The sequence below is a fragment of the Homo sapiens genome, chromosome 18 (assembly GCF_000001405.40).
Source record: "Homo sapiens chromosome 18, GRCh38.p14 Primary Assembly".
Taxonomy (NCBI): domain Eukaryota; kingdom Metazoa; phylum Chordata; class Mammalia; order Primates; family Hominidae; genus Homo; species Homo sapiens.
Window position 1 is genome coordinate 28,583,355 of NC_000018.10, and position 25,787 is coordinate 28,609,141.

Consider the following 25,787-nt stretch of genomic DNA (forward strand, 5'->3'; position numbering starts at 1 on the left):
AAAATTGGCCCTGTGAGGATACAGTCTGTGTTGGTTTGAAGCAGGAGTTTAATCATATCTGTTTTGTCCCTCAAATAAATGAAGTAATAACAAACAAAGGCAGTACACCTGCCTCATGTTGTTGCATATACACCAGCCACGAAAAAAAAAAAATTGTGACTAAGAGCCACAGGCACTGGTGCAGCAATTACAGTGGAAGAGAAAAGGGTTTATAGTCAACTGTGGAGACAAGGTAACAGAAACCAGGCATCTCCTGTTCTCCAGTTATCACAGCATACATTCCTAGCACAATGCCCTTATATCCCACCTCCGGTGGGTGTAGGATCTTGTTTAAGGTTTCTTTCTGAGAAACCAGATACAGTGCATATTTGACACTGTTGATGATGATATTGACATGGAAGGTGTATACATACACTATTGCCCTGTTCTGAACTCTTTCTTTACTATTTATCTTTCTTAAAGTTAGTTTTGCCTAGGATATGTTTTTCATTCTTAGAAACTTTATTTCACTCACGACACACTACAACTTGTAGCAGGTTCTTGGCCAGTTGCAAGAGCTATGCACAGAATATTTTGGAGGAACTGTATATTGTTTTAAGGTGCATATTGTCTGATTAAACAATGTCTCATTTCTTATCCTCATACCTGTCCCTAAATTCATCCTATATATGCAATGAGATTGTAGAAAAATAAATACATCACTTAAAGGATTTTGACACACTCATCTGAAAGTCTACATAATTGCAGTCATGCACAGAATAATAATGTTTCAGTCAACTACAGATACAAGAGTGGTTCCATAATATTATGATGGAGCTGAAAAATTCCTATCTCCTAGTGATGTCATAACTGTTGTAATGAAGTTGGGCAATACATTATTTCTTCTATTTTTAGATATTAGATAGACAAATTGTTATAATTGTGTTACAATTGCCTATGATATTCAGTACAGTAATACACTGTACATGTTTGTAGCCTAGGAGCAATAAGCTGTAGCATATAGCCTAGGTGGATCGAATGCCATACCATCTAGGTTTGTGCAAGTGCATTCTATGATGTTCTCACAAAAATGAAATCACCTAACAATGCCTTTCTCTGAACTTGTCGTTGTCATTGAACAATGCAAGACTGTAAATGCTGTGCTTTATATACCAATATAGAAACTATTTCTGGCAGTAATTCAGACATCCTAGACCCTAGGGATAGGGATGGATTTGTGAGGACCCACTTTTATTCTGCCTGGTTCTGAACCTGTAGATATAGAGAGCTCTTTCCAGGTCACAAGGACAGCATTTAGCAAAAAAGAGTGCTCATATTTTATAGCTAATTTATGGGATTTCTCTCCTTGCCCTTTGATTACAGATCTTTTCTGGTCTCTCTCTCAAAACATCTTGTCCTTATCTGATTACAGTGGCTCTTTTCCTCTTTGAATACAGTATTTGACTTTGTTTTGTAGTTATGATTTGCAGTTGTCTCTTGAAAGACTGGAGCTAAGAGAACAGCCACTAAGCCCTTCTACACTGCACTGTAAAAATATTGCTCCTGCTAGGTTCAGCCCAGCTCCTGGAAGAAGGATCGAATGACGCATTTTTGCCATTCCTCCTTGTGGTCAAGCGAAATTAACTGCAAGACTGCTGGCTTGGTTGGTGAATACCTAGCAGCCAGGAAAAACAGCAATGGTAAATAAGTGTATGGTTTTATTTCATCTTGTATCACGGGACTCTGAGCAACTAATGAAAATTGAGGATCCACTTTGGCTAGATCAGTACGTATTTCAAATAATTGTAATTAAAATGTAATATGGAGTGAATGCAGAAAGAGAAGAGTTGACCGGAATCAGGGAATCTTCTGACACCTTTGTTTCCTCATTAAATTGATTTATCCACTCTAGAGGTGGTCTAAGAAGAGATATTCTCCTCACCCTCAGGGGCACAATAAGGAAAATAATTCAAAAACACATAGGTTTTCAAGATTTCTAAAAGCAATTTTAAATGTTTTGTTCATAAGACAATATGTGGCCATTTAGACAAAGATGATTTCTCAAAAATAAATGAATGGTATAAAAATAACCCATAACCCCGATATACAGAGAGTAACAGGGAACCGTTTGGTATTTATTGTTCAACTTGTTTATTTGTTACCCAAAACTTCATTAGATAGCAATAACAATTTGAAAAAAAGACTCCTGTATAATACCAATTGTATCCTTTCTAAATAAAAATATTATTGATTTCCTTTCTCTTAATATGCCCCTTAATCTAAGGTTTGACTTTCAGATTGTAATTAGTAAACTGTGTTGATTATTTCAATGTTAAATTATTAGTAACAGTTAATTGGAATTCTAGTTGCCAAAAAGGTGAACAATATATTAATCACAAATTCCAGAAGTAACTTTAATTTGATGTTGCTATTGATATCAACATAACAAAAACTTTTTATATTACATATTGTTCATCTGTATAATTTCCTCATCTCCTGGAGGTTGTCAAATTGTGATTCCTAGTGACAATATTAATTTGCCTCTAACAATCAGAATTTATAATGCTATTAACATAAATATGAAGAGCTATGTTAGATCTGTCAGCATTGAGAATCACATTTTCTTTGCATGTTACATATTTTTTCATATATCTATAAGACTTATTTAATGAGACTCTTATGCAAACATGTTATAAAATGATCAGAAAAACTACTCTCAACATAGCACTTTTATCTTTTAACTGTCATAAATATCAAGTTGAATCCATATCTACTAATTAAAATTGTTCTGCATACCTAAACTGAAAATTATCACAAAATTATATGCTTGTAAAATTATTTTAATTACACATATGATTTATTTGTGATATAGCTCATTAAGAGGGTTCACATAAATAATAAAAGTAACAAAACTAAGGAAGATTTTATTTTGGTAAGATAGATTTTTGGAGGGGGGGGCATTTGCCCCTTGTTATAGACATAAACATAGCATCCAGGTAGTTTAGAATATCTTCTTGTTGTCAAATAATACATTGAAATTTTTGTCTCTGAAGAATTCCTAGGATACAGAGAATGGCCACCTGTGTCTGGGTTGGAGGCCATACTGCACCGAGCCAGCCAGACTGTGTATTCAGTTATGAGGTGTTTCTGGCAGCTTCCTGGACTCAGAATAATAACCTAGTAACTGTCATTTCTCCTTCAAAGTGCCATTCCTTTTTATACCGAAGGCTTTTGGTCATCTTACTAATTATAACATAATAGAATCATCTTAATCTCCTAGTACTACATAACTTAGTTTTCTCTTTGCATTTTATTAGGGATTGGCAAAAATTGACCATTCATGATGTTTCCTATATAACAAGACTAGAAATTCATAATGTAGATCCAAGTGTAATCTTTTCATTTTCCTAAGTGCTGAATCCTACACCCTATTAATTTAAAGTAGAACATTTCCTGCCTCTTCAACACTGGTTTAATGCTCAAGTAATAATTTTAAAGCTAGTGTGTGGGCATCACAATTGTGTCTTTTCTCAAACCTACATAAATGCAGAATGAACTCTGATTGCCTATTGGGTTATCTTTTCGGTACATAGAAAAAAATAGATTAAACTCAAAGTATTTCCTAGTCACATGTTCCTAAGGCAGGGTGTTCATGCATATGTGTGTATTTATTTAACCAGTGATTTATCATAAAATTCATACTTTTAAGTGCCTACTCTGTTTTAAGCATTAGGCTAGGCCTCAGGGCTGTAAAAATCAGAATTGACACCACAATACCTGTTTGGAAGGAGCTTCCAGTTTATCATAAGAAATAGACTGTCAATCAAACCCTCTCTGGATGAGCAAGGAAAGACTTCAGAGAGGAGGTAAACATTTTAGTAGATGTTCAAAAGATCAATGGGAGTCATCCAGACTGATAAGGAGGTGGAGGTTTCACCAGGTACAGAGACAATCATGCCTGAACATTTTGGAGAGAGAAAGTAGATTGAGTCCTGAAAACCTTAATATCCCCAGAAGAATCAATACATTTTAGAGATGCAGGTGTGGTGCTTTCAAGTTAAGTGATTTCCTGAGGTCACATTGTTATCCAATAACACAGTAGGAGTGAATCCCAGGATTTCTGATAATTAATTGTTGAACAAAATTAATTCCTAACACAAAGGGTCAATGGAAATGCAATGGTAATAAACTATATACATCACAATACATTCATAGCATGGTAAGGAAAAAAATCTTGTAGTGTTAAACTAGCTTTAATTTTAGTTTATGGAGGGTAGACTTCTTCTGCACCATAGGCATAAAAGCTTTTCACAGTACAGGTATTTTCTTCATGTGTGAATTAAAATGTAATGCTAATTAATACTACTGGGTCACAGGATTAAATATATAATTCATGTGCAGTTATAATACATCTGCAGACAGAGTGAGATTAACCTCATGTTTAGAGGAAAAATGTGTCTTTGAGACTCAGAATATAGATTACATATTAAACCATGGGAGCACAAAGGGGTGACAATATCCTCAAAACATACATGCTATTGTAGTTTAAACGATACGGACAGCACTGCTGTGAAAACTACGTTCAATAACATGTCTCCGAAAGGTTTGACATGGTTGAAGAAAGAGGTCATTTTGTTTGCAAGATTGCCAGCTTTCAGATGGCTGCGCGAGTCTCATAATTGACCTAAACAATAGTAGTTACTCTCCTGGTAGCAATCATTGTAAGACTGAAGGATTTCTGGGAGATTATTGATACTTGGGCTCTGCTCTTAATTAAAAATGTCATTCTATTTCAAGATATGTTTTCAAGATGAGAAAATATCTGTTTTTATTCTTGATGGTTCACAATAATAATTAATGTATAATGAGAAAACTTATCCTAGTTTGACAACATGTTCTGGAGAAGGAACTTGAAAAGAACTTCAAAATAATCATCTGAAAACATATGCAGCAAAATTATAGATGCAGAAATTAGATCAAACATATTACAAATGAAAATACATAGAAAGTGATACATTTTCCTATGAAGAAATGGAGGTTCTCATATTGAAAGAAAGTAAATCTACCTCTATATGATATGTAAGTGAAAATATGTATCACATAATATTGAAGAAAAATATCAAATGGAAGTATTAATGCTAGAGAAACTAAAAATTAAGGTGAAAATATCAAATAAAACAGTTATACTTGCAATAATAATTATTATGACTTACCAAAAAATTTACTCATCATTAATCATCATTTACAAAAGAACACAGCATCAAAATACATAAAGAAAAAACTGATAATATAAAGAGAAAACGTAATAATAGTTATAATGGGAAAATTCAAGATACATTCCTCAAAGTGTGGCAGATCCAATAGACTGAAACATGATTAATGGTCGGAAGAGATTAAAAAGTATAGAAATTCATTTCAAACACGATGAAGTTAATAGATACAGGGTTGGGAAAAGATGCATAGTAGAAAGTTGTTATATAGCATTTCTGTCGCACAGTTACAATAATTGTAAATAATGTCAACAGCATAGATAATAGTGAAATGTAGCAAAATAATTAAAAGTGATAGTTTTGAATAATTATTACCTTGCTGATAATTTATTAAATTATAACAATTCATTTTAATTCTTTTTCTTAACTTTTAGGTTCAGGGGTGTATGTGAAGGTTTATTACATAAGTACACTCTTGTCATGTGGGTTTGTTGTACAGATTATGTCATCACCCAAGTATTAAGCCTAGCATGGCTATGTTTAATGGCTGTGTCTAAGAGTTGGCTTGCAAAATTCCTGAAAATTGAAAAATTGGCAAGCCAGGAGAAGCTGGCTGCAGAAACCAAAGTTCTTTCTGACTCTAAATCTTATTCTGGGGCATTTCTCTCAGGCTGAAAAATCTTTGGGGCCACCAGAAAGGAGACAATCACAACTACTTTTTCATTCTTCAACAGGATCAAGGAAATTATCTCTCATAAGTGAGAGTTCTATGTGATCAAAGAAAAGAGAGTTTCCATCAGAAATATTAAGTTGCATCATCTTATTTGGTGCAAGGAATGAAACTGTAGCCCTGTCTTTCCTATTCATCTGTTTGAGAATTAGAGTTGAGGAATGAAATGTTTATCAAAGGGACATGTTTCAGTGTATTTACTTAAAAAGAGATAAAAAGTCAGAAGTTTTTCTGATAGAAACATAAGAAGACTTAATTTCATAAGAATGTCGATTCACCTCAAATCAATTTAGTTTATAATATCTGAATTCTAATTTGAAGAAACTTTTGAATGAGATTTGAGAGGATAATTTTTATATTTACTTGTATTAGAAAAAGGCAAGTTTTTTCTCTTTCTTTTTAAAAATCTATTATTATTATTATTATTATATTTTAATTTGGGGGTATATAGTAGTTGTATATACTTATGTGTTATATGAGATGTTTTGATACAGGCATGCAATGTGAAATAATCACATCATGGAGGATGAGGGTATCTATTCTTTGAAATATTTATCCTTTGTGTTACAAACAGTCCAATAACACTCTTTTAGTTATTTAAAAGTGTACATTGAAGTTAGTATTGACTATAGTGACCCTGTTCTGCTTTCAAATATCGAGTTTTGAAAAGAGAGAACAATGATAGAGTTATGAATATCAATCGGGGTGCTACATACACAATGCTTTGCTCAGAGATTGCTTAAAAAATATTACTTATTTTTCCCCCTGAGATGGAGTCTTGCTCTGTCACCCAGGCTGGAGTGCAGTGGCACAATCTCAGCTTACTGCAATCTTCACCTCCTGGGTTCAAGCAATTCTCCTGCCTCAGCCTCCCGAGTAGCTGGGATTATGGGCACCCGCCACCGCACCTGGCTAATTTTTGTATTTTTAGTAGAGACAGTGTTTCACCATGTTGGCCAGGCTGGTCTCAAACTCCTGACCTTGTGACCCGCCCACCTCGGCCTCCAAAAGTGCTAGGATTACAGGTGTGAGCCACTGTGCCCGGCCTACATTACCTATTTTTATACACACATCAGATATTAAATGTATCCAAACAATATTTATACTACATATGCATGGTACAAAATATCACAGTATAATGAATACCCACGTATAGACCACACATCTAAAAACAAGGATTATTACCATTCATATGGAAGTTGCCATTTATGCTCTTCCTGACCCCATCTCTTGCCCCTCATCCTGCTCAGAGGTAACTTGTATTAGTCCATTCTTATGCTGCTTCAAGGACATACTTCAGACTGGGTAATTTATAAAGAAAAGAGGTTTAATTGACTCACAGTTCAGCATGGCTGGGGAGGCCTCAGGAAACTTACAATCATGTCAGAAGGCACCTCTTCACAGGGCAGAAGGAGAGGGAATGAGTGCAGAGTGAAGGAGAGAAAAGCCCCTTGTAAAACCATCAGATCTCATGAGAGCTCACTTACTATCACAAGAACAGCACGGAGGAACCACCCCCATGACCTAATCACCTTCCATGAGGTGTCTCCCTCAACACATGGGGATTATAATTCAGATTACAATTCAAGATGAGATTTGGGTGGGGACACAGAGCTAGACTATATCATAGCTACTACCCTAAATTTTGTCTTTTTTATTTTTGCTTTTCTTTGTAGTTTTTACACATATGTTTGTATTCTATAGTAATTTATTAGATAATTTTGGATAATTTTGAAGTTTATTTAAATGAAACCATACTTATGTATTTTTCTACATGTTTTTCTTTTTTCTGTAAGAATTTTTTGGAATTGAGTCATGCTTTACATAGCTATAATTCATTCATTTTTATCATTGTTTGTTATTCCATTAAGGAATATCCCAGAACTTATTTACTTATTCTATTATTCATGTTCAATTTGAATGTTTCTAGGTTTTTTTTGCTCTTACCACCAGCACACCTTTGAATGTTTATATCTATGCACTTGTGCTAATATAAAAATTTCTCTATTTCATCAATACAAGTGTTAATGGTAGGATCAAGCAGAATGTTCATTTTCTCATATATAAAATAATGCTAAATTATTTTCCATAATGTTTACACATAGTAATCCTTCACCAGAAGTACATAAATGTTCTGTTTTGTTTTCTTTATACCTTTATTGATACATAATCAGATATTTTTAATTTATCTCAAACTTGTGAATACACAAGGATATCCTGTATTATTCTTGGCTTATATTTTCTTTTATTAATAATGAGGTTGAGCATCTTTTCATGTTTATTTACCATCACGTCTTCAGTGAAGTGATAAACTTTCTCAGTTTTTTGACTGATGTTGTCCCTATTTGCCCTTGTACTTGAAATACTTTTTTCCAGCTATTGAATTCTTGGTTGACAGTCGTTTTCTCTTATTCCACTGAAGGTATCTGGCTTCCATTATTGTTGTTAAGAAGTCAGCAGCCATCTAATTGTTGCTCCTTGAAAGATTCTCTCTTTTTTTATTTTCTACCAGGATGCTATTAGAGATCTTTTATTTGGTGGTCTGCAGTGCTTAACTGTAAATTTCTTTTCACTTAACTTTTTCTGGATTTGTTTGGCTCCTTAAATGTGTCTTTTATCATTTCTGAAACATTTTCAGCCACTGGATTTTCAAACGTAAACTTTCCTCTCCTTCTGAAACTTTGATTAGACATGTGATCCTATCATTTCATCTTATATCTCAATATTTGTTAACATCTCTTAATATTTTTCAGCTCTTTTTTCCTCTCTGTGTGGCTACATTCTGTATATTTTCCACCAAATTATCTTAGAGTTTATTACTATGTTCTTTAAGTATGTCTAATTTGTTGCTGATTCCATCCAAAATTTGTATACCTCTTTATAAATTATGAATTTATACATTTCCTAAAATTAAATTAAACTTGCTCTCCTGGGAGAAACTCCACTTTGTCATGGAATCTAACAGTTTATTTATCATTGGATTTGATTTACTAACATTATGCTTTATGTTTATAATGAGATTGTATTATAACTTTTCTTTCTCCTACTTTCTTTGAAGGTTTGTGTATAAATATTATACTGGGACAGGATTTCTCAACTTTAGTGCTATTGACCATTTGGACCAGATCATTCTTCATTTTGGGGACTGTCCTGTACATTGTAGATGTTTAGCAGCACCTCTCACTTCTACCCACTAAATGTCAGTAGTATCCGCTATACCTGCAGTTATGATAGCCCAGACATGTCTCCAGGCAAGCCAAAGGAACCCTCAGGAGGAAATGTGTCCCAGTTGAGAACTACTACACTTTTAAAATGATCAGAAAGACATAGAGTAAAGATTATCCTACAAAATTGTATGGGCTATAGTCTTTCTAGCTGTCGAAGATAAGAAAGAGAGAAATACTGTGAAACTGTCAGACTACAAGAAACAAAATCAACATTATATGCATTTTCTTGGATGGGATCCCAGAACAGAAAGGAAAGAAATACATTTTGTGAAAGTTGTGATGTTGTATGAGTGTTGATTTTCCAGCTTAAATGTTAGAGAGGGTTAAGAAGAGTGTCTTTGTTTCTGGAAAGTATACACAGGAGTATTTGGGCAGAAGAGTGGTGACTCATTTTATCTATGGTTTGCTTTCATTTGGTTCGGAAAAATACTACTACTGCTACTACTAATAGTAGAGATAGTGGGGAGAGGGAGAGAAAAATATTAAAGTGAAATATTGACAGTAGGGAAATTTAAGTGAGGTTGATAAGAGAGTGCTTTGTAGTGTTTTTCAACTTTCCTGTAAGTTTAAATTATTTCCTAATAACTTATTTAAAAAATAATGTATGTTTCTTATTTTATAGTATATTGAAAATGGGTAAGTAAAGCTTTAAAATTAATATTGCTGATCTCTTATATCAGGTATTAGGTAATAAATGCCAGTTGATGAAAATCATCTGGTTTTGACGCAAATTTAGTGATCTTAATTCTACAACCAAACCATTTAATCCACTTATAAACAAACTTCCAATGCAAAATCTCTCCTAGATAATAAATATAATGGTTAAATGAGCCTCTGCCTCTGACAAGCTACAGTTTGAGCTATGGTTTGCAACTATTAGCTATCTTTGGGAACATTACATTACCTCTCTAAATATGTTTATTCAGCTGAAGATAAAATAAAAAAATACATGTTTCATATTTTTAGCACTAAAGATAATATACATAAAATTTCTTAGCACAAGGCAATTCACAAATTTCATACAAATTTCACAAATATTGGCTATTAGTTTGTGAACATCTTTGATTAGGCAAAATTTTTTCTTTGATAATGCTTTAATCTTAACAGGAAAATGGAGCTTTCATCTCCCAACTAGAGAAGTAATATGTTGAGTTCATTCACTCCAGGGTATAAATTAATCATTTTGTGTCATGTTAGAGAGTAATTTCTGGTAGAGGACAGGTGACTAAGGGTCTCCTAGTCTGGTCACTTACCATTGCTGATGGAAATCTTTCCAATGTAGCCTATTGTCAATGAACTACAGAATTCTCAAATCTCAAACTTACTTTTCTAGGCTTTATTATTCCACTCTGTTGCCATTTTCAATGTTCAGCTATACTGAAGTTCCATTTCCATTCTACATACATGTTGTCTTCTTTTCTTTACTCACAATCCACTGCCTATGTGAATTTTTCCCTTCCTGCCTATTATCTTCTTTTGAAAGCTCACCCTTGTTCAAGGTGTGACAGGTGCTGCCACTTCTTTAGGCAGCATCCTAATCTAACCAGCCGGGGTTACGCTCTCTCTTCCAAGCTTGCTCCCACAGCACATTCGGTTGCATAGGATTTCTGCACAGGAATCATGAGTAAGATCCTCAGTGGTAGGCAAGTTTCAGTTTATAAATGACTCGTGTTCCATTGTGTGGAATGATAAAAAGATAGTATGAGTGTGCCTAAGCATCATCTGTGTGTCATAGTTCATATAAACAATGCATCCTTTCACTCTTGCAACCAGGGCATGAGTTCAGTCATTTGACTAGTACCATCACAGGGTGAAATAATGAGCCCACATGAGGGCATAATATGTCAAGTGAGTGAAGATTCAATTGTGGAGTTTTTCACTTGTATCATCTTTATGTAAGGCTGATAATGCTTGCTAAAAAAAAAAATTCTATTGTGCATTTTGCTTCAGTATTACTCGTATCTTTTTTATCCTTAAAGTGCTTAAAGACGGCATCAAAATCATATAATAAGCAATAATAACTGAGGGTTTGCTATATGCCAGTCACTGTGCGAGGTACTTTATGTGCATTATGCATATGTAAATAATCCTCATTACAGCCATATTAGTTAAGTACCATTATTAACCCAAGTTTTCCAGTGAGGAAACTGAGTCTGAAAGAGATTTATTGTTTCCCAAGGGTTAATATCCACTAATTATCAGAAACACGCTGGCTAATTCCAAAATTCGAATATTACCTACCACGTTATTCTGCTATAATGTTTATAAAATTTGATTAAATTATTTTAAGGTCATGAAAATCAAATTGTGAGAGAATTTATTGTATCATTTTAGCAGAGACATTTTACAATAAATGTGTTACATTAATGGTTGCTAAGTTTGTTGAATTGCATGGATTCCTTATGCCATGTTTATAGTTAAAATTCCTTAGACCATAATTGATTCATGTCTAAAGTCACGAACTATTCATTGTCCAAATTATATAAAAATTGGTTAAACTCAAATTGTGACTTATTGGCTCCTTCCATAAATGGAATCAGGAAGTTTTGACAAATCTGTATCTGTCAGTCTGTAAGACATTTCCATTTATGTCTCAGGTAAATTGAGTAAGCTGTATTGATTGATGGTATATGGTTTTTAAATATAAGACCACAGAATATAACATCTAAGTGATATGGCAAATATTTCAGAAAAAAATAACTGAACAAAATATATTCTTACTTCACACCATTTTAAAGCCATATTAAAATAATATTAGAGGAATCACAAATAGGGAAATACCCCAAATTTTAGCTTTATCTCATAATAACATACCTTTTTTGAGATTTTCTAGGCCTTTAATATTACCAAACTTTTGCCTGAATAGTTGGTATATGTGTATTTATATTAGTTATTAAAATAATCCAACATCATTTACACAATTGGTTAGTGTCCTTAGAATCTATTTTATAAGACTGTGATTACTCCATTTAAAAGTAGGTATTTGATATTCAGCTCATGGAGCACCATTAAACAATTTTATGCTAATATTGTGTAAATGTATGACTGAAATTTCTGCAGCACTCACTAATTTTTTATTGTCTATTAAAAATTCTAATGGACCGCTTAATTGGGTATACATATTTTAAGTTTAAAAGGAAAATATTATGGCACACTTTGAGGAAATTCTATTCTTCTACATTAAATTATATAAGTATTTTATAATAACTCTCTAGGTAAGCTACTTTAAAGCTATTTAAATTGAACTAACTCAAGTCAATTGCACCATACATTTAAATTACAGAATTTACAAACTTTTTGCTATAACTAGATTAAAAGGAGGTTAATGCTTCCATACAATGACTAACCTAGCAACAATTTTAATAGTAAGATCCACTAGGTCACATAAGTCATTTCACTGTACAAATGTTCCTTTACTTATGATGGGATTAAGTCCTGATAAACCCATTGTAAGTATAAAATATAATTTGAAAATTCATTTAATACCTCAATAACGCATCTTATGGTCAAAAAATCAAAAGTCAATCCATTGTTTGTTAGGGACTGTCTATCCTTGGAAAGACAAGGAGTAACCTGCTTTCAATCTTGAATATTTACACCCCTCTCTATGGCTAGTTATTTTCAGGTTTACCAGAAACATAGTTTGGCTACAATACAGACTGGAAATAATTAACATAAAATAAAATAAATGACTTTTAATGTTAAAAATATTATGAAGTTTAGAAAAATGCTCCAAAATAATTTTTCTTTCTAACTAATCATATTATCTTCCTTTCTCACTAGCTACCACTCATTGCCAACTATGGATAGAATTTATATCTAAAATTAGTTCTCATGGGCAGAAATTGTATCAAAATTAGGAGTAGCAAATAATGAAATTTTACATGAAAAACGGCCTACTACCCCACCATTCTTTTCATTCTCTGAACTCTCAAATCCTATCCTAGGAAAATCAGGATCAATAGGATTTGATGTGCTACTGATGAAAGGTTTCTTGTGCAGGTAATGGGGATCCAGGACAGAAATATGAATATAATTTATAATTAAGGATTATCTAATCATTTACATGATCAGAATAAACTATGTTTTGCTAACTCAAATGCACTTGCACTGAAATGAAAATACTCATTTATTGGTGCAGTATAACCATATTTCTCTGAAATAAGAGTACTGGCGTGTCTTTCATATGCGCATTTTACTCTAAATTATCACCATCAATAAACCAGGCTATTGGGTGCTCAATAAATATTTGGTAAGTTAATATTTAAAATAAGACCTTTTCTCCCAGGAAGATAAACAGGGCATCTTTTTTTTTTTTTTTTTTTTTTTTTTTTTTCTCAAAATTTCATTCAGTCCTATCAGCAAAATAAATTATAAAATTTTAGGTAAAGCAATTTTCTCTCCACAAAGCAATTTTCTATCAGTCTGTTCCAACTCACGCTTGGTCTTACAACTAAAAAAAGGGCCATTGTGGTAGCAGAAATAGTAACTTGACAAAAGAAAGGAGGTCTGCCCATTTTAATTTCATACTGAGAACTGTATTGTTAAACAGAATTACAAAAATATTTTGAAAACGTCTTAAATATTACAAGCTACAGTTGTTGTAATTGCATAAGGCACAAGTCCTGCAAACTCAACTCATATTTTTACATTTAACATCTTAAGAATATTGACTAAAAATAGATTTTTGAAAAAAATCATTGATAATGGAGATTGAGTGTACATCGAGTACACTGCAGTTATTCTTCTCAAAATGCTACTTTCTACAGCACCAAAATAATGAGGTGATATAAAATCCTTGCTGCATCTGATTGGTACAATTTATTTGGCTTAGAAGCATCAGAGTATAGTGCTCTGGAATTTATAACTAGGTAGAAGCAATTTTATCTTTATACTTAAAACCACTAAAAGTCTTACTCCACAAGATTATGTGCTTATGGCAGCTCATGTAGTTGTTTCCCACCAACTTTTCCCCATGCTTTGCTATCCTTTGATAACCCTTGCTTGTGTCCTTGAAACAGTTATTTCATTAGAAATTGCAAAGTGATGCTTTTCTAATTCTATTATTTATACTTAATTTATTCTCTTGAAATATTCTACATCGAAGAAGTTTCTTTCTACTAGAGCTATTCTGCTAGCCTAAAATATTCATTCTAGAAGGCCAAAATAAATGCTTGTAACTATTCATTTTGTTGTGGATTTTCAGAGTATGGGTTGGTGCCTGTAGTAATCTCCAACTGAATTGTTCCCTTCCCTTAACTACTCATCCCCCGAATCCCTCTTTCTTTTTTACTAATGAATTTACAACTTTTATAATATATTTATATGTTTTAATCAATTTCAATCATTATTTTCTTCAATGTTCTAAGTCTCTCGATTTAGATCAGTGTAAGCTCTTTGTGATGACTCTCATTCTTTTGAAATGGCTCCATTAATCTTTGGTATCATTCTTGTTTTCAGAAACAAAAAGATGGCCCAAGCTCACCTTATGTGTGTGTGTGTGTGTATGCATGTAGGTGTTTATAACTAGATTTTTATACTATAAAAGAATTCACTCATTTAATTTTGAGTTATTGTGATGACTGAAGTGTCAAGATTTGTTTTAATTGATTGAATAGATGACAATTCTCAACTTATGGTAAATCACTGGAGTGCAGGGCATAAAAGGGGGTGGTGTCTTGAATTGGAGAAGATAAATTTTAAGACACAATATGAAACTTCCAGTTTCCATTCTAAGAGCTTGAAAGTCATCACTCATCCTCACAACAAGAAAAAAGCTGAACAAGCCAAAATGATTTTAAAAAACTGTCAGAGAATTAAAGTCACAGGACCAACAACATCCTCAAACATTAGAAAAACAAGTGAATTATATACAAATATGATTGCCAGAAGCAGAAGTCATTGGAATAGTTAAACCAAAACTTCAAGGAATTCCGGAGGGTGTGTATAGACTAGCTTGATAGTTACAATCTCCCCCAGATGCCTAATCTAGAGAGATTTCTGTACTTTCCTAGGATTTATCTCTAGGATAAAACCCACCAGATTTTCAGATGAAGAACAGGAAAAAACTCCATCCTGTTTGGTCAGAGGGAAGAAAAAGTAAAATTTTCTGAAAACCTAGAACATTGTTAACAACAAAGGCCAACTTTGCAATGCAAAAACTTCATCAGAACCCAATGATTTCCAGCATGAAGGAAGGTGTTAGTCTTCATGTCTCATCCAAGGGAGAGAAGAGGAATCTGAGATGCATTTCTGAAGCTCACAGCCCAGGGACACACATCCACTGAAAGACTGAGATCTAATCTCTCCATATACCTTACTGCCCCCATCAACAAGGCTTCTGTAAAATAAGAATGGATTACAGTTAAAAAACTAAAAGATTCTGATTCTATTTATAGAAGAAAAACCTAAAGAAAAACCCAAAGATGGCAAAAGAGACAAAAGCAAGGATATTACAGAAACTGAAGCCTCTGACACATACAGATACAGTGAATAGCAAACACAGCCTGTCTTGTAGCCAGATAAATATAACACCACACACTAAAAAGCTTAGGTATTTCAGTTACTATTAGTCAATACAGTATGTCTAACTTTCAAAAACATTATAAGCATGATAAAAGGTAAGAAAAGCACAATCTAAAGGACAAAGCAAGCAACAGAACTAGACCCAGACATGGCAGATATTTTGGAATTATCAGATTGTGAATTTAAGACAACTATGATTAATATGCTAAGGGCTTTAGCAGAAAAAGTGGATGTTGTCCAGGAATTGATGGTTAAAGTAGCCATAGAGATGGGAGCTCTAATAAGGAATAAAAAGGAGAAGCTGAAAATAAAAAGCACTAACAGACATAAAGAATGCCTTTGATGAGCTCATGAGCACACTGAATATAGCCAAGGAAAAAAATAATGAGCTTGAAGTTAGGTCAATAAAAACTTCTCAAACTCAAATGCAAAAAAAATAAAAAATAAGGGGGGGACAAAACCCTAGAATATCCAGGAAGTGTGAGACAATTACAAAAAGTACAACATATGTATAATGAGAATACCAGAAGATGCACACAAGAGAAAGGAGCAGAAAAAAATATTTAAATTATGTGGCTAAGAGTTTTTTTAAATTAATGACAGAAACTAAACCAAAAACAAATTATTGAAAGAGGGCATGGGAGAAAACATTTTACCCATAGAAGAATAAGGATATTTATATCAGACTTTTTGATAGAAACCATAAAAGCAGAAGAGACTAGAGTCAAATATTTAACATATTGAAAGAAGAAATCTCCCAACCTAGAATTTTATATTCATTGAAATTATCCTTCAAAGTGAATAGAAATATAAAGACTTTCTCAGACCTTTCTCTCAAGACAGGTATACTAACAAGAAACGGCATACCTGTTTTGAGAGAAATTTTAAAATAAGTCTGAGAGAAGGGAAATAATATAGATCAGAAACTAGGACCTACATAAAGAAAGAGAGAGTGTCAGAGAAGGAATAAATGAAAGTAAAATAAAATCTTATTTTTATATGATCTAATAGAGAACTATTTTCTTACTCTTATCAGATCTAATAGATGGTTGTTTGTTCATAGTAGTAACACGAACAATGTGTTGGGTAATTATAGCATATGTATAAGTGAAATGAATGACAGCACTGTTATAAGGGATGCAATGGTGGAATTGGAATACTCTGCCATAAAAGCACCTGCACTACCTATGAAATGGTATGTCAAAGCAAATTTATATTAGTTACAAACGTACATTTCAAACTCTAGGGCAACCACTAAAAAGGCTAAGAAAAGATGTATAATTCATATGGTAAGAGGAGAGAAAAAGGAATCATATAAAATGCTCAATTATACTCAGAGAAGGCAGAAAATGAAAGAAGAGATGCCATGTTAGCACTTAATAAAAAGAAAGCTGAAGTACATGTATTAAATTCACACAAAATCAATTACAGAGCAAGAAAAATTATCAGTGATGAAAGGAGGAATTTTTAATAATAAAAGTCTTAATTCTCCAAGAAGACATAACAATTCTTAACATATATGCCCTTAACAACAGAACATCAAAATACATGAGGCTAAAACAAATAGAATGATAAGGAGAAGTAGATTAATCCACTATTATGTTTGGAGATTTCAACACTCCTCTGTCAGTATTGACAGATCCAGTAGACAGGAAATCAATAAAGACATTGTAATACTACACCGCATCCTCAGCTTCTTTAAAGTCATAAGATCTCAGAGACAGAATTAGCTGCATGGAAATGAAAGGGTAGTCCCTGGGTGGTAGTGTAACCCTCCTTTATTTGGATCAATCTCTCAGAAAGTGTCCCAACTGTCCCAGAGAACTGATGTCTACTGGTGTGTGTGTGTGTGGGTGTGTGTGTGGGTTTGGGTGTGTGTGTGTTTTTTGATAAATATAGAAACCAACTCCTCTGGTCTGAAATCTTGAGACTTACATTTGTCTTATCTGTGCTCCTTGCTCAGAAAACCCACCCATAGGCCTCCCAGATGTCAAAGGACTGAAACTTACCAGATCACTGTATCCAGACAATGAGTTGCAAGACCCTTCATCCATCATAATTCCTGTTTACAAACTCCTCTTCCTTACCCTTCCTTAATTCCTGCTTTCCCACACATAGTTACATTTCTTCCCTGCTATATAAACCCCTAAGTTTAGTCAGTCAGAAAGATGGATTTGAGACTGACTTCCCTTTCTCCTTGGGTGCAGTACCTGAATAAATCCTTCTTCCCTAGCAATACTTGCTGTCTCAGTGATTGGCTTTCTGTGTGGCAAGCAGCAGAAGCTAAACTGAACCTCTGGTGTTTTGGTAACAGAACTAGATGAGAGAGGATCCCTGTAGAGGTGGGATTTATAATGCTCCACATTTAATTATCTCTTTTGTTGGACACTGAGAAAACAGTTTAAATAAATACATAGATTACTGAACATTACTTTCCCTTAATTTATCTTACCTATTTACTGTAGATTTAATGGAAAGAAATTGAGTATCTTCCTTTTTACTCTCCTTTTTTAAACTAACCTTGGTTTCTATTTTTTGTTTGTTCTTAATGAAGTTTTATTTGAAACAAATAGGCCCAATATACATCAAATAGAAGCAGACAGTCTCTAAATTTAGAAAATGTAAGTAATGTCTATAAATCCTAAATTTACCATCAACATGTGAGTCTTAGCCAAATGCAGTCTACTGCAGCCTGTGTTTAAGTCCATATTTGAATTATTATTATTTTCAAAAATGTGTTTGCTCTAAATGTTTACCTCACAAGAATTGGTACATCAGTAAAGCCTAAACACTTAAACCACTACTCTAACCTCATTGCTGACTTATCTTTGCTAGGTAACTCTCATTAGCCTCTTATCTCACAGAATTAATGTTAGTAATTTTAATTAAAGCTGAATAAAATTTATTGTTTTATTTGGCTATTTAAGCTTAATCTCTTAAAAGTATATTGTGAAAGCAGGCCTTATATAAATGTTGACTGATAAAAACACAAAAGCAAAAATTAGGTAAGCATTATTCACATTTGAGTCAATCTAATTTTCAATTGCATGATGTAAACTCAACTCAAAATTTCAAAAAATAAAAAAAGTTTAGATGGTACAACTACACATCATTTTTGATTTTGTGAATCCCTATATAAACACACAAACACACAAAATGCATAAAGACTACAGCCATTAGTGTTATCTTTTTAAAAAATTAGATAAATGTAATGGGTGAAGCTTTGGAATCATGGGTAATGATGTCAAAAAGATAGACAAATTGTTTGTAGGCTCCTTGATAAAATATGCTGACACAACTAGCTGTCAATGGATGACACTGTAAGATTTGGAAGTATAGGGTTCATGTCTTCTCTATACTTTTTTCAACCATCTCTCTAAGATTTGCATAACAGTGTTCTATCTGGTGTCCTATACTGTGTGGTCATTCAGACACTAAATATTCTCACCACCTGATCATCATAAATATTTGCTACTGGAGAAAAGGTTTATTATTTTGAACTGTTTGGACCTACAACATTTATGACTGCAATAATAAGTCATAAGCTAGGTTTCAGGCAGAATGACTGAAAAATTTCAGCTGTTTTCACAATCAATTTCAGTAGCTAAGGTCAAAGCCATCATGAGGGACCTTGGACTGCTTGCTAAGGCAGGCAAAATAACTTATTTGACTACACAATAATCTGTGCATTCAGGTGAGCTCTCTAGGTCACAGTTCAAGCCTGGCTCTTCTCTTGACTGCTTAACCTAAAAGTATCTTATAATTTATATAGAATTTTATAATGTAAATATTATGACTTGCAATTGTATAACATGAATTTTTTTAATAAAACACCACTATCACTTAAAAAATATATGCATTCCAAAACAATGCTTAAGACTCACATGTAGAAGTGGATTCCTCAGAACTTGAATCAATATTTTGTATGGGGTGTCCTAATTGTAGACCAAGAGGGGCAGGCAATGGCCTACACCTATAGTTGGGTCCCGGATGCTGCAGTGAGCAATGTGGGCAACAGGATCTCAGAGCGAGCCCAAAGAAACACATGACATGTACTGGGAGGTGAACACCCAACATCACATAGCTGGTGAGTGGCTTTCTGGGTTCAAAGTTCTGCTATGCAGTATCGCACAAATGAATAAATCTGGCTTCCAGTATGATTTATAGGATATCTCTGGCAGTGAAGAAACTGAGAGTATGAACTAACAGCATAGGGATTTTTGTCAAAAAGATGCTGAATAAAGAACTGTTCAGAAGGTAGATGAGAAAAGAAGATACTACACTGTATAGGGAAAACAGACACCTGCTGTATGAAAACGTACAAGTAGTAAAATAAATAACTGTTTATGTGTATTTCCCAGTAATATTATTTAAGGCATTCTTTTAAACACTTCACTGAAGAATCAAAATATAATCTTAGTTTTCCGTGATCCAAGGCTTTACCTTGAAACTCAAAATACACTTTCTTAATTCTTTTTTAGGTTCTCATATTTTATTTAGTATTTTGATTGCTAAATGTTTGCTATTTACATAATGTTATCTTCATTAACTGCCAAATTCTGATTGATAAAATTACAGATAATTTTTCCTGACAGAGGATAGGATTATCCAGATGTGGAATCCATGAAGTAGCAAACAATAAGTTAAAAATATCAAATTGGAATAATTCTGTGCATTTGTATTTTTAATGGGCAGTCTCTCTTGTGTTTAAAATATTGGGCACTGAAGTCGGAGAGACTTTTGATTAAATACAGACAACTCACTGACTGACGTTGAGCCAGTTACTTCCATTCTCTTTGCATCAGTTTTTTCACTAATGCAACAGGGATTTAATAGTTTCTGCCTTATTTCATGTTGGGAGTTAGAAATGAGATAAGTTAGGTACATGGTATGTACTCAATATAACCTTAGCATGAAAACTGATCAGCAATTGTGAGATAGCTCTGTGTTCAAATTATATATATGTAAAATTGTGTGCATTAAAATAATAATAAAGTTTTAGAGTTCTTTTAAAAAATTATTATTATTATTTAAAATGGGGTCTCACTCCGTCACCCAGGCTGGAGTGCAGTAGCGCAATCTGAGCTTACTGCAACCTCTGCCTCCCGGGCTCAAACAATCCACCAGCCTTAGCCTCCCAAATAGTTGAGACGACAGGCATGTGCCACCCCAGCTGGCTAATTTTTGTATTTTTTTTGTAGAGACTGGGTTTCACCATGTTGCCCAGGCTGCTCTCAAACACCTGAACTCAGGTGACCCGCCCACCTCAGCCTCCCAAAGTGCTGGGATTACAAGCGTGAGCCACTGCACCCGATCTTAAAAAGTTATAAAAGTTTAAACTTATATATATAGTTATATAAAGTTATAAAAAGTTATAAATCAATAACTTTTTAAGGTTATAAAAAGTTATAAATCAATAACTTTTTAACGTTATAAAAAGTTATAAATACTTTAATAACTTTTTAAGGTCGGGTGCAGTGGCTCACGCCTGTAATCCCAGCAATTTGGGAGGCCGAGGTGGGAGGATAAACTGAGGTCAGGAGTTCAAGACCAGCCTTGCTGACATGGTGAAACCCCATCTTTACTGAAAACACCAAAATTAGCTGGGCATGATGGAAGGTGCCTGTAATCCCAGTTACTTGGGAGGCTGAGACAGGAGAATCGCTTGAACCCTGGAAGTGGAGGTTGCAGTGAGCCAAGATCACGTCACTGTACTCCAGCTTGGGCACAAGAGCAAGACTCCGTCTCAAAAAAAAAAAAGTTATTTAAATATATCCTGTGTATGAAAAAATATAAACTCTAAAGGCAGAATTTAAGGAATAATAAAATGAACAACCATACATTGATAGACCATTGTAAGACGTAAACCATGTTCAGTGTCAGAGAAGCCTGAATTCACTTACCTGAGGGAATTCTCTTTTATCCTCAAAAGTAACTGCAAACCTGAACATTGTTCTATTCATTTCTTCACTTTTCCTTACAGTTTTATTACCTGTGTACACCTGCCTGACAATAAAACTTTGTCTTTTTTGAACCTACATGAATAAAATTACATTTTTCTCTGATATATACCTATCTGCTCAATATTACTGTTTAGAACTTCATTTGTGTGAATATGCATTGTTCCAGAGCACGTGATGGCAAAGTTTTTCTATGAAGGGTCAGATAGGACATATTTTAGGCTTTCAGGGCAATGTAGTCTCTGTCACAATTACTTATTACTGACTTCAGCACAAAAGAAGAAATAGATAATATATAAATGAATGGCCATGTTCCAATAAATTTTTATTTACAACAAATAGGTGGTGGACTCAATTTGGCCTCAAGCTTGTGTTGGCCCCTGTTCTAATCATTTATTTTTCACTGTCATATAGAATTATTTCATATTAATATATTGCAGTTTATCTTTTTCACTGCATGGAATGATATGCTTACATTTCACTGGAGTCACGGAATGATATGCTTACATTTCACTGTAAGTAAATTACACTTAAATGTTTAAAGAAATAGATAAAAGTTAAAAAAAGGACATTTGCAATTGAAAAACCCCTTAAGAAAATATCATATTTTATTGAAAGATAGTAAAGAAAACCCAAAGAAGTTAAGAAATATTCAGATACTTGGATAGGAACACCCAATTTAGTCAAGTTTGTATTCTTCAAAAAATACTGGATTAATTCAGAGCAATTCCAGTACCAATTGGATTTTTTGTTTTCTGGGATTGTTGTTTTTGAGAAAACTAGACAAGCTGATTTTAGGATTTTTATGAAATAGCAAAAGTAGAGAACAGCCAAGAGACTTGTGGAAAAGAAGTGGGGGAGAGAGTATTCTACCAGATATTTAAACCTTTAACTAAGGTAGAATAGTTAGCAAGAGGTTTTGTTGAGCCTTTCCCAGTGTCTTTGGGTGTGTAGACACTTAAAATTTTTACAAAGTCTAATTTATTTAATAGTTTTTCTTATGGTTAGTGCTTTTGTGTTTCATTTAATTTTTCCTCACTTTCCTATCATTACAGCTGTGAAGATATTCTCCTGTTTTCTTCTAGTAGTTTTATAGTTTTCTCTCTTAAATACAAACCCTTCATTCATTTCAAATAAATATTTGTATATGGTGTTTAGTAGGGGTCAAATAAACATATACAATGATTACTTTTGCATGTTTCCTTCAATAGTTGTTGAAAAGACTCACGTTTCCCCATCGAAATGCTTTGGCAACTTCATCAAAAATTAACTGACTATGTAATTGTGGGGCTATTTCTGGACTCTCATTCTACCCATTGATTACTTTTGTCTATCTGTGTACTACACTGCCTTGTTTATATAAGCTTGACAGTATGTTTCTTCTTATTAAATTTCCTAAACAGTTGTTATTTGTATGTAGAAATGCAAAATTATTTTGTGTATTGATTTAGTACTCAGCATCATTGTTAATCTATCTTAATAATTCTAATTCATTTTCACTGGAATCTTTTGGGTTTCTATGTAGGTAATTTTATTGAATGACTATAATAATAATAATTTTGTTGCTTGCTTTCCAAATTGTGTATGCTGTAATTTTATTTTTCTTTTCTTGTTTTTGAAGCTAATAATTCTAGTAATGTCAGTAGTTTTGATGACAGTGGGCAGTCTTGATTCTGATTCTGAATATGTTGTTTTCAATATTTCACCAGAAGGACAGATATTTGCTACCAATGTCCTTTAGCAGAATAAAAATGTTTTCTTTAGTTCCTACTGTAAGAGATTACATCATGAACAGATGTACAGGATGTCAGCAATATGTGGGGTATGTTTCACTAAAAACTCTCTCTTCCATAAAAGCAATGAGATAACTGGAGACATTGTAAGAACCAACTTTTTCCGGACTTTGGAAATTAACCAAAGGCTTGCAGCAACCAAGTGAGCATTTTTTTTCAAGATAAATGGCGAAACTTGATAAAAATTGAGAGTTTTGTTGCATTTTAACATGCCTTAGTTCCATCTCCCACTTTCCACTACTCTGTGGTAGCCTTGAAAAATAACTGCTGTGTAGTGTTAGGGCCCTTTCAAAGCTTCATTCCCAACCTATCTTTCTTTCTTTCTTTCTTTCTTTCTTTCTTTCTTTCTTTCTTTCTTTCTTTCTTTCTTTCTTTCTTTCTTTCTTTCTTTCTTTCCTTCTTTCTTTCCTTCTTTCTTTCCTTTCTTTCTTTCTTTTTCTTTCTTTCTTTTTTCTTTTTTTTTTAAGACAGAGTCTAGCTTTGTCACTCAGGCTGTAGTGCAGTGGCACGATCTCAGCTTGCTGCAACCTCCATCTCCTGGGTTCAAGCAATTCTTCTACCTCAGCCTCCTAAGTAGCTGGGATTACAGGTGCCAGACACCAAGCCCAGCTAATTTTTGCATTTTTAGTAGAGACGTGGTTTCAACACATTGGCCAGGCTGGTCTCGAACTCCTGACCTCACGTGATCTGCCCACCTCGGCCTCCCAAATTGCTGGGATTACAGGTGTGAGCCACTGCGCCGGCCAGAATTATTCTTTTACCAGTCAGGTGGTTACCTAGAAGACCCCATTTGCAAGGCTATTCATATTTGATCTGACTCAAGCTTTTCCCCAGGAGACATTTGGTGAAAACAATTACAAGAAAGTGTTTAACTTCATGACTGCTTGAGGTGGTGGATAACGGTTGGGCAAAAATAGACAAATCAAAAAACTTGAGCAGAATAGTTGAAAACTGAAATATTCATATGGACTTTGAAAAGCTCCAACATATTTTTGAGTATCTAAAAGACTACACACACACATAAGGTTGTGTGCATGCATAAGGCTGTGCGCATGCTCAGGGCTGTGCATATGTACCCAAATGGCCAGAGAAGTCCCTACATTCTCACCTTCACTGACTTTGAGGCTCTGTGCGAGCAGGAAGAGAAAGGTAATACAGAATTGTCAACTGCCTGGTTGAGTGTTAATTACATGCCCCAACAGATATACAGAACCCCTGGCAAAGACTGGGAGACTTTTTCATTCCAGGCATTAGGACAATCTTTGTTAGCTTGCTATTGAACTAGCTAGGGGAAGATCTAAGTACCACACGTGACAAAACATATAGACATTACAAATTTAGTTCAGAAAAGTCACTGAACAAACAAAAACTATAATAAGCAATGACAACAGCAAACCCCAGAGTTGCCACATATAGGGTTTAAAATGTTCAGTATTCAGCAAAAATGTGAAACATGCAAAAAAAGAAGAAAATATGACCCATAAACAGAAAAATAGTCACTCAGTTGAAGCTGTCCCAAAGAAGCCCAGATATTGTACTTACAGATGTTGTCAGCTATTCTAAGTGTTTTCAAAGAGCTAATAAAACTATGTCTAAAGCAGGGTTCCCCACTCGGCCCGGACTGGTACTGGTCCATGGCCTGTTAGAAACTGGGCTGCACAGCAGGAGGTGAGCAGTGGGTGAGCAAACATTGCCACCTGAGATCTACCTCCTGTCAGATCAGCAGTGACATTAGATTCCTATAGGAGTGCAAACCCTATTGTGAACTACACATGAGAGGAATCTAGCTTGTGCATTATGAGAATCTAACTGATGCCTGATGATCTGAGGTACAACAGTTTCATCCTGAAAACCAGCCACATCCCTGCACCCACCAATAGAAAGATCGTCTACCATGAAACCGTTCCCTGGTGCCAAAAACGCTGGGGACCGCTGACCTAGAAGAGAGAAAGAGAACTCTTTCTCACCAAATAGACATCAATAAGAAAATAGACACCAAGTACATAGGAAACTACATATAAATGCTGCAGTTGAAAAGTAAAATAACTGAGATGAAAAATTCACCTGAGAGGCTCAAAAGTAGATATGAGTAGGTAGAAAAAAGAATCAGCAAATTTCTACAAAAATATGAAAACTGAAATTTAAAATATAATAGCAAATACAACCACCTCAAATAAAATGAAATACTTAAATCTAAATCTAACAAAACGTGCAACATTATGCTTTCAAGCCGTTCATGTTATATTGAATCAGTTTCTTGCAGGTAGAATGTTAGATCATTTTTTAAAAATCTACTTTACCAATTTCTGATTTTTCATTGATGTGTTGAGACCACTGCAATCAAAGTAATTGTTAGTACATTA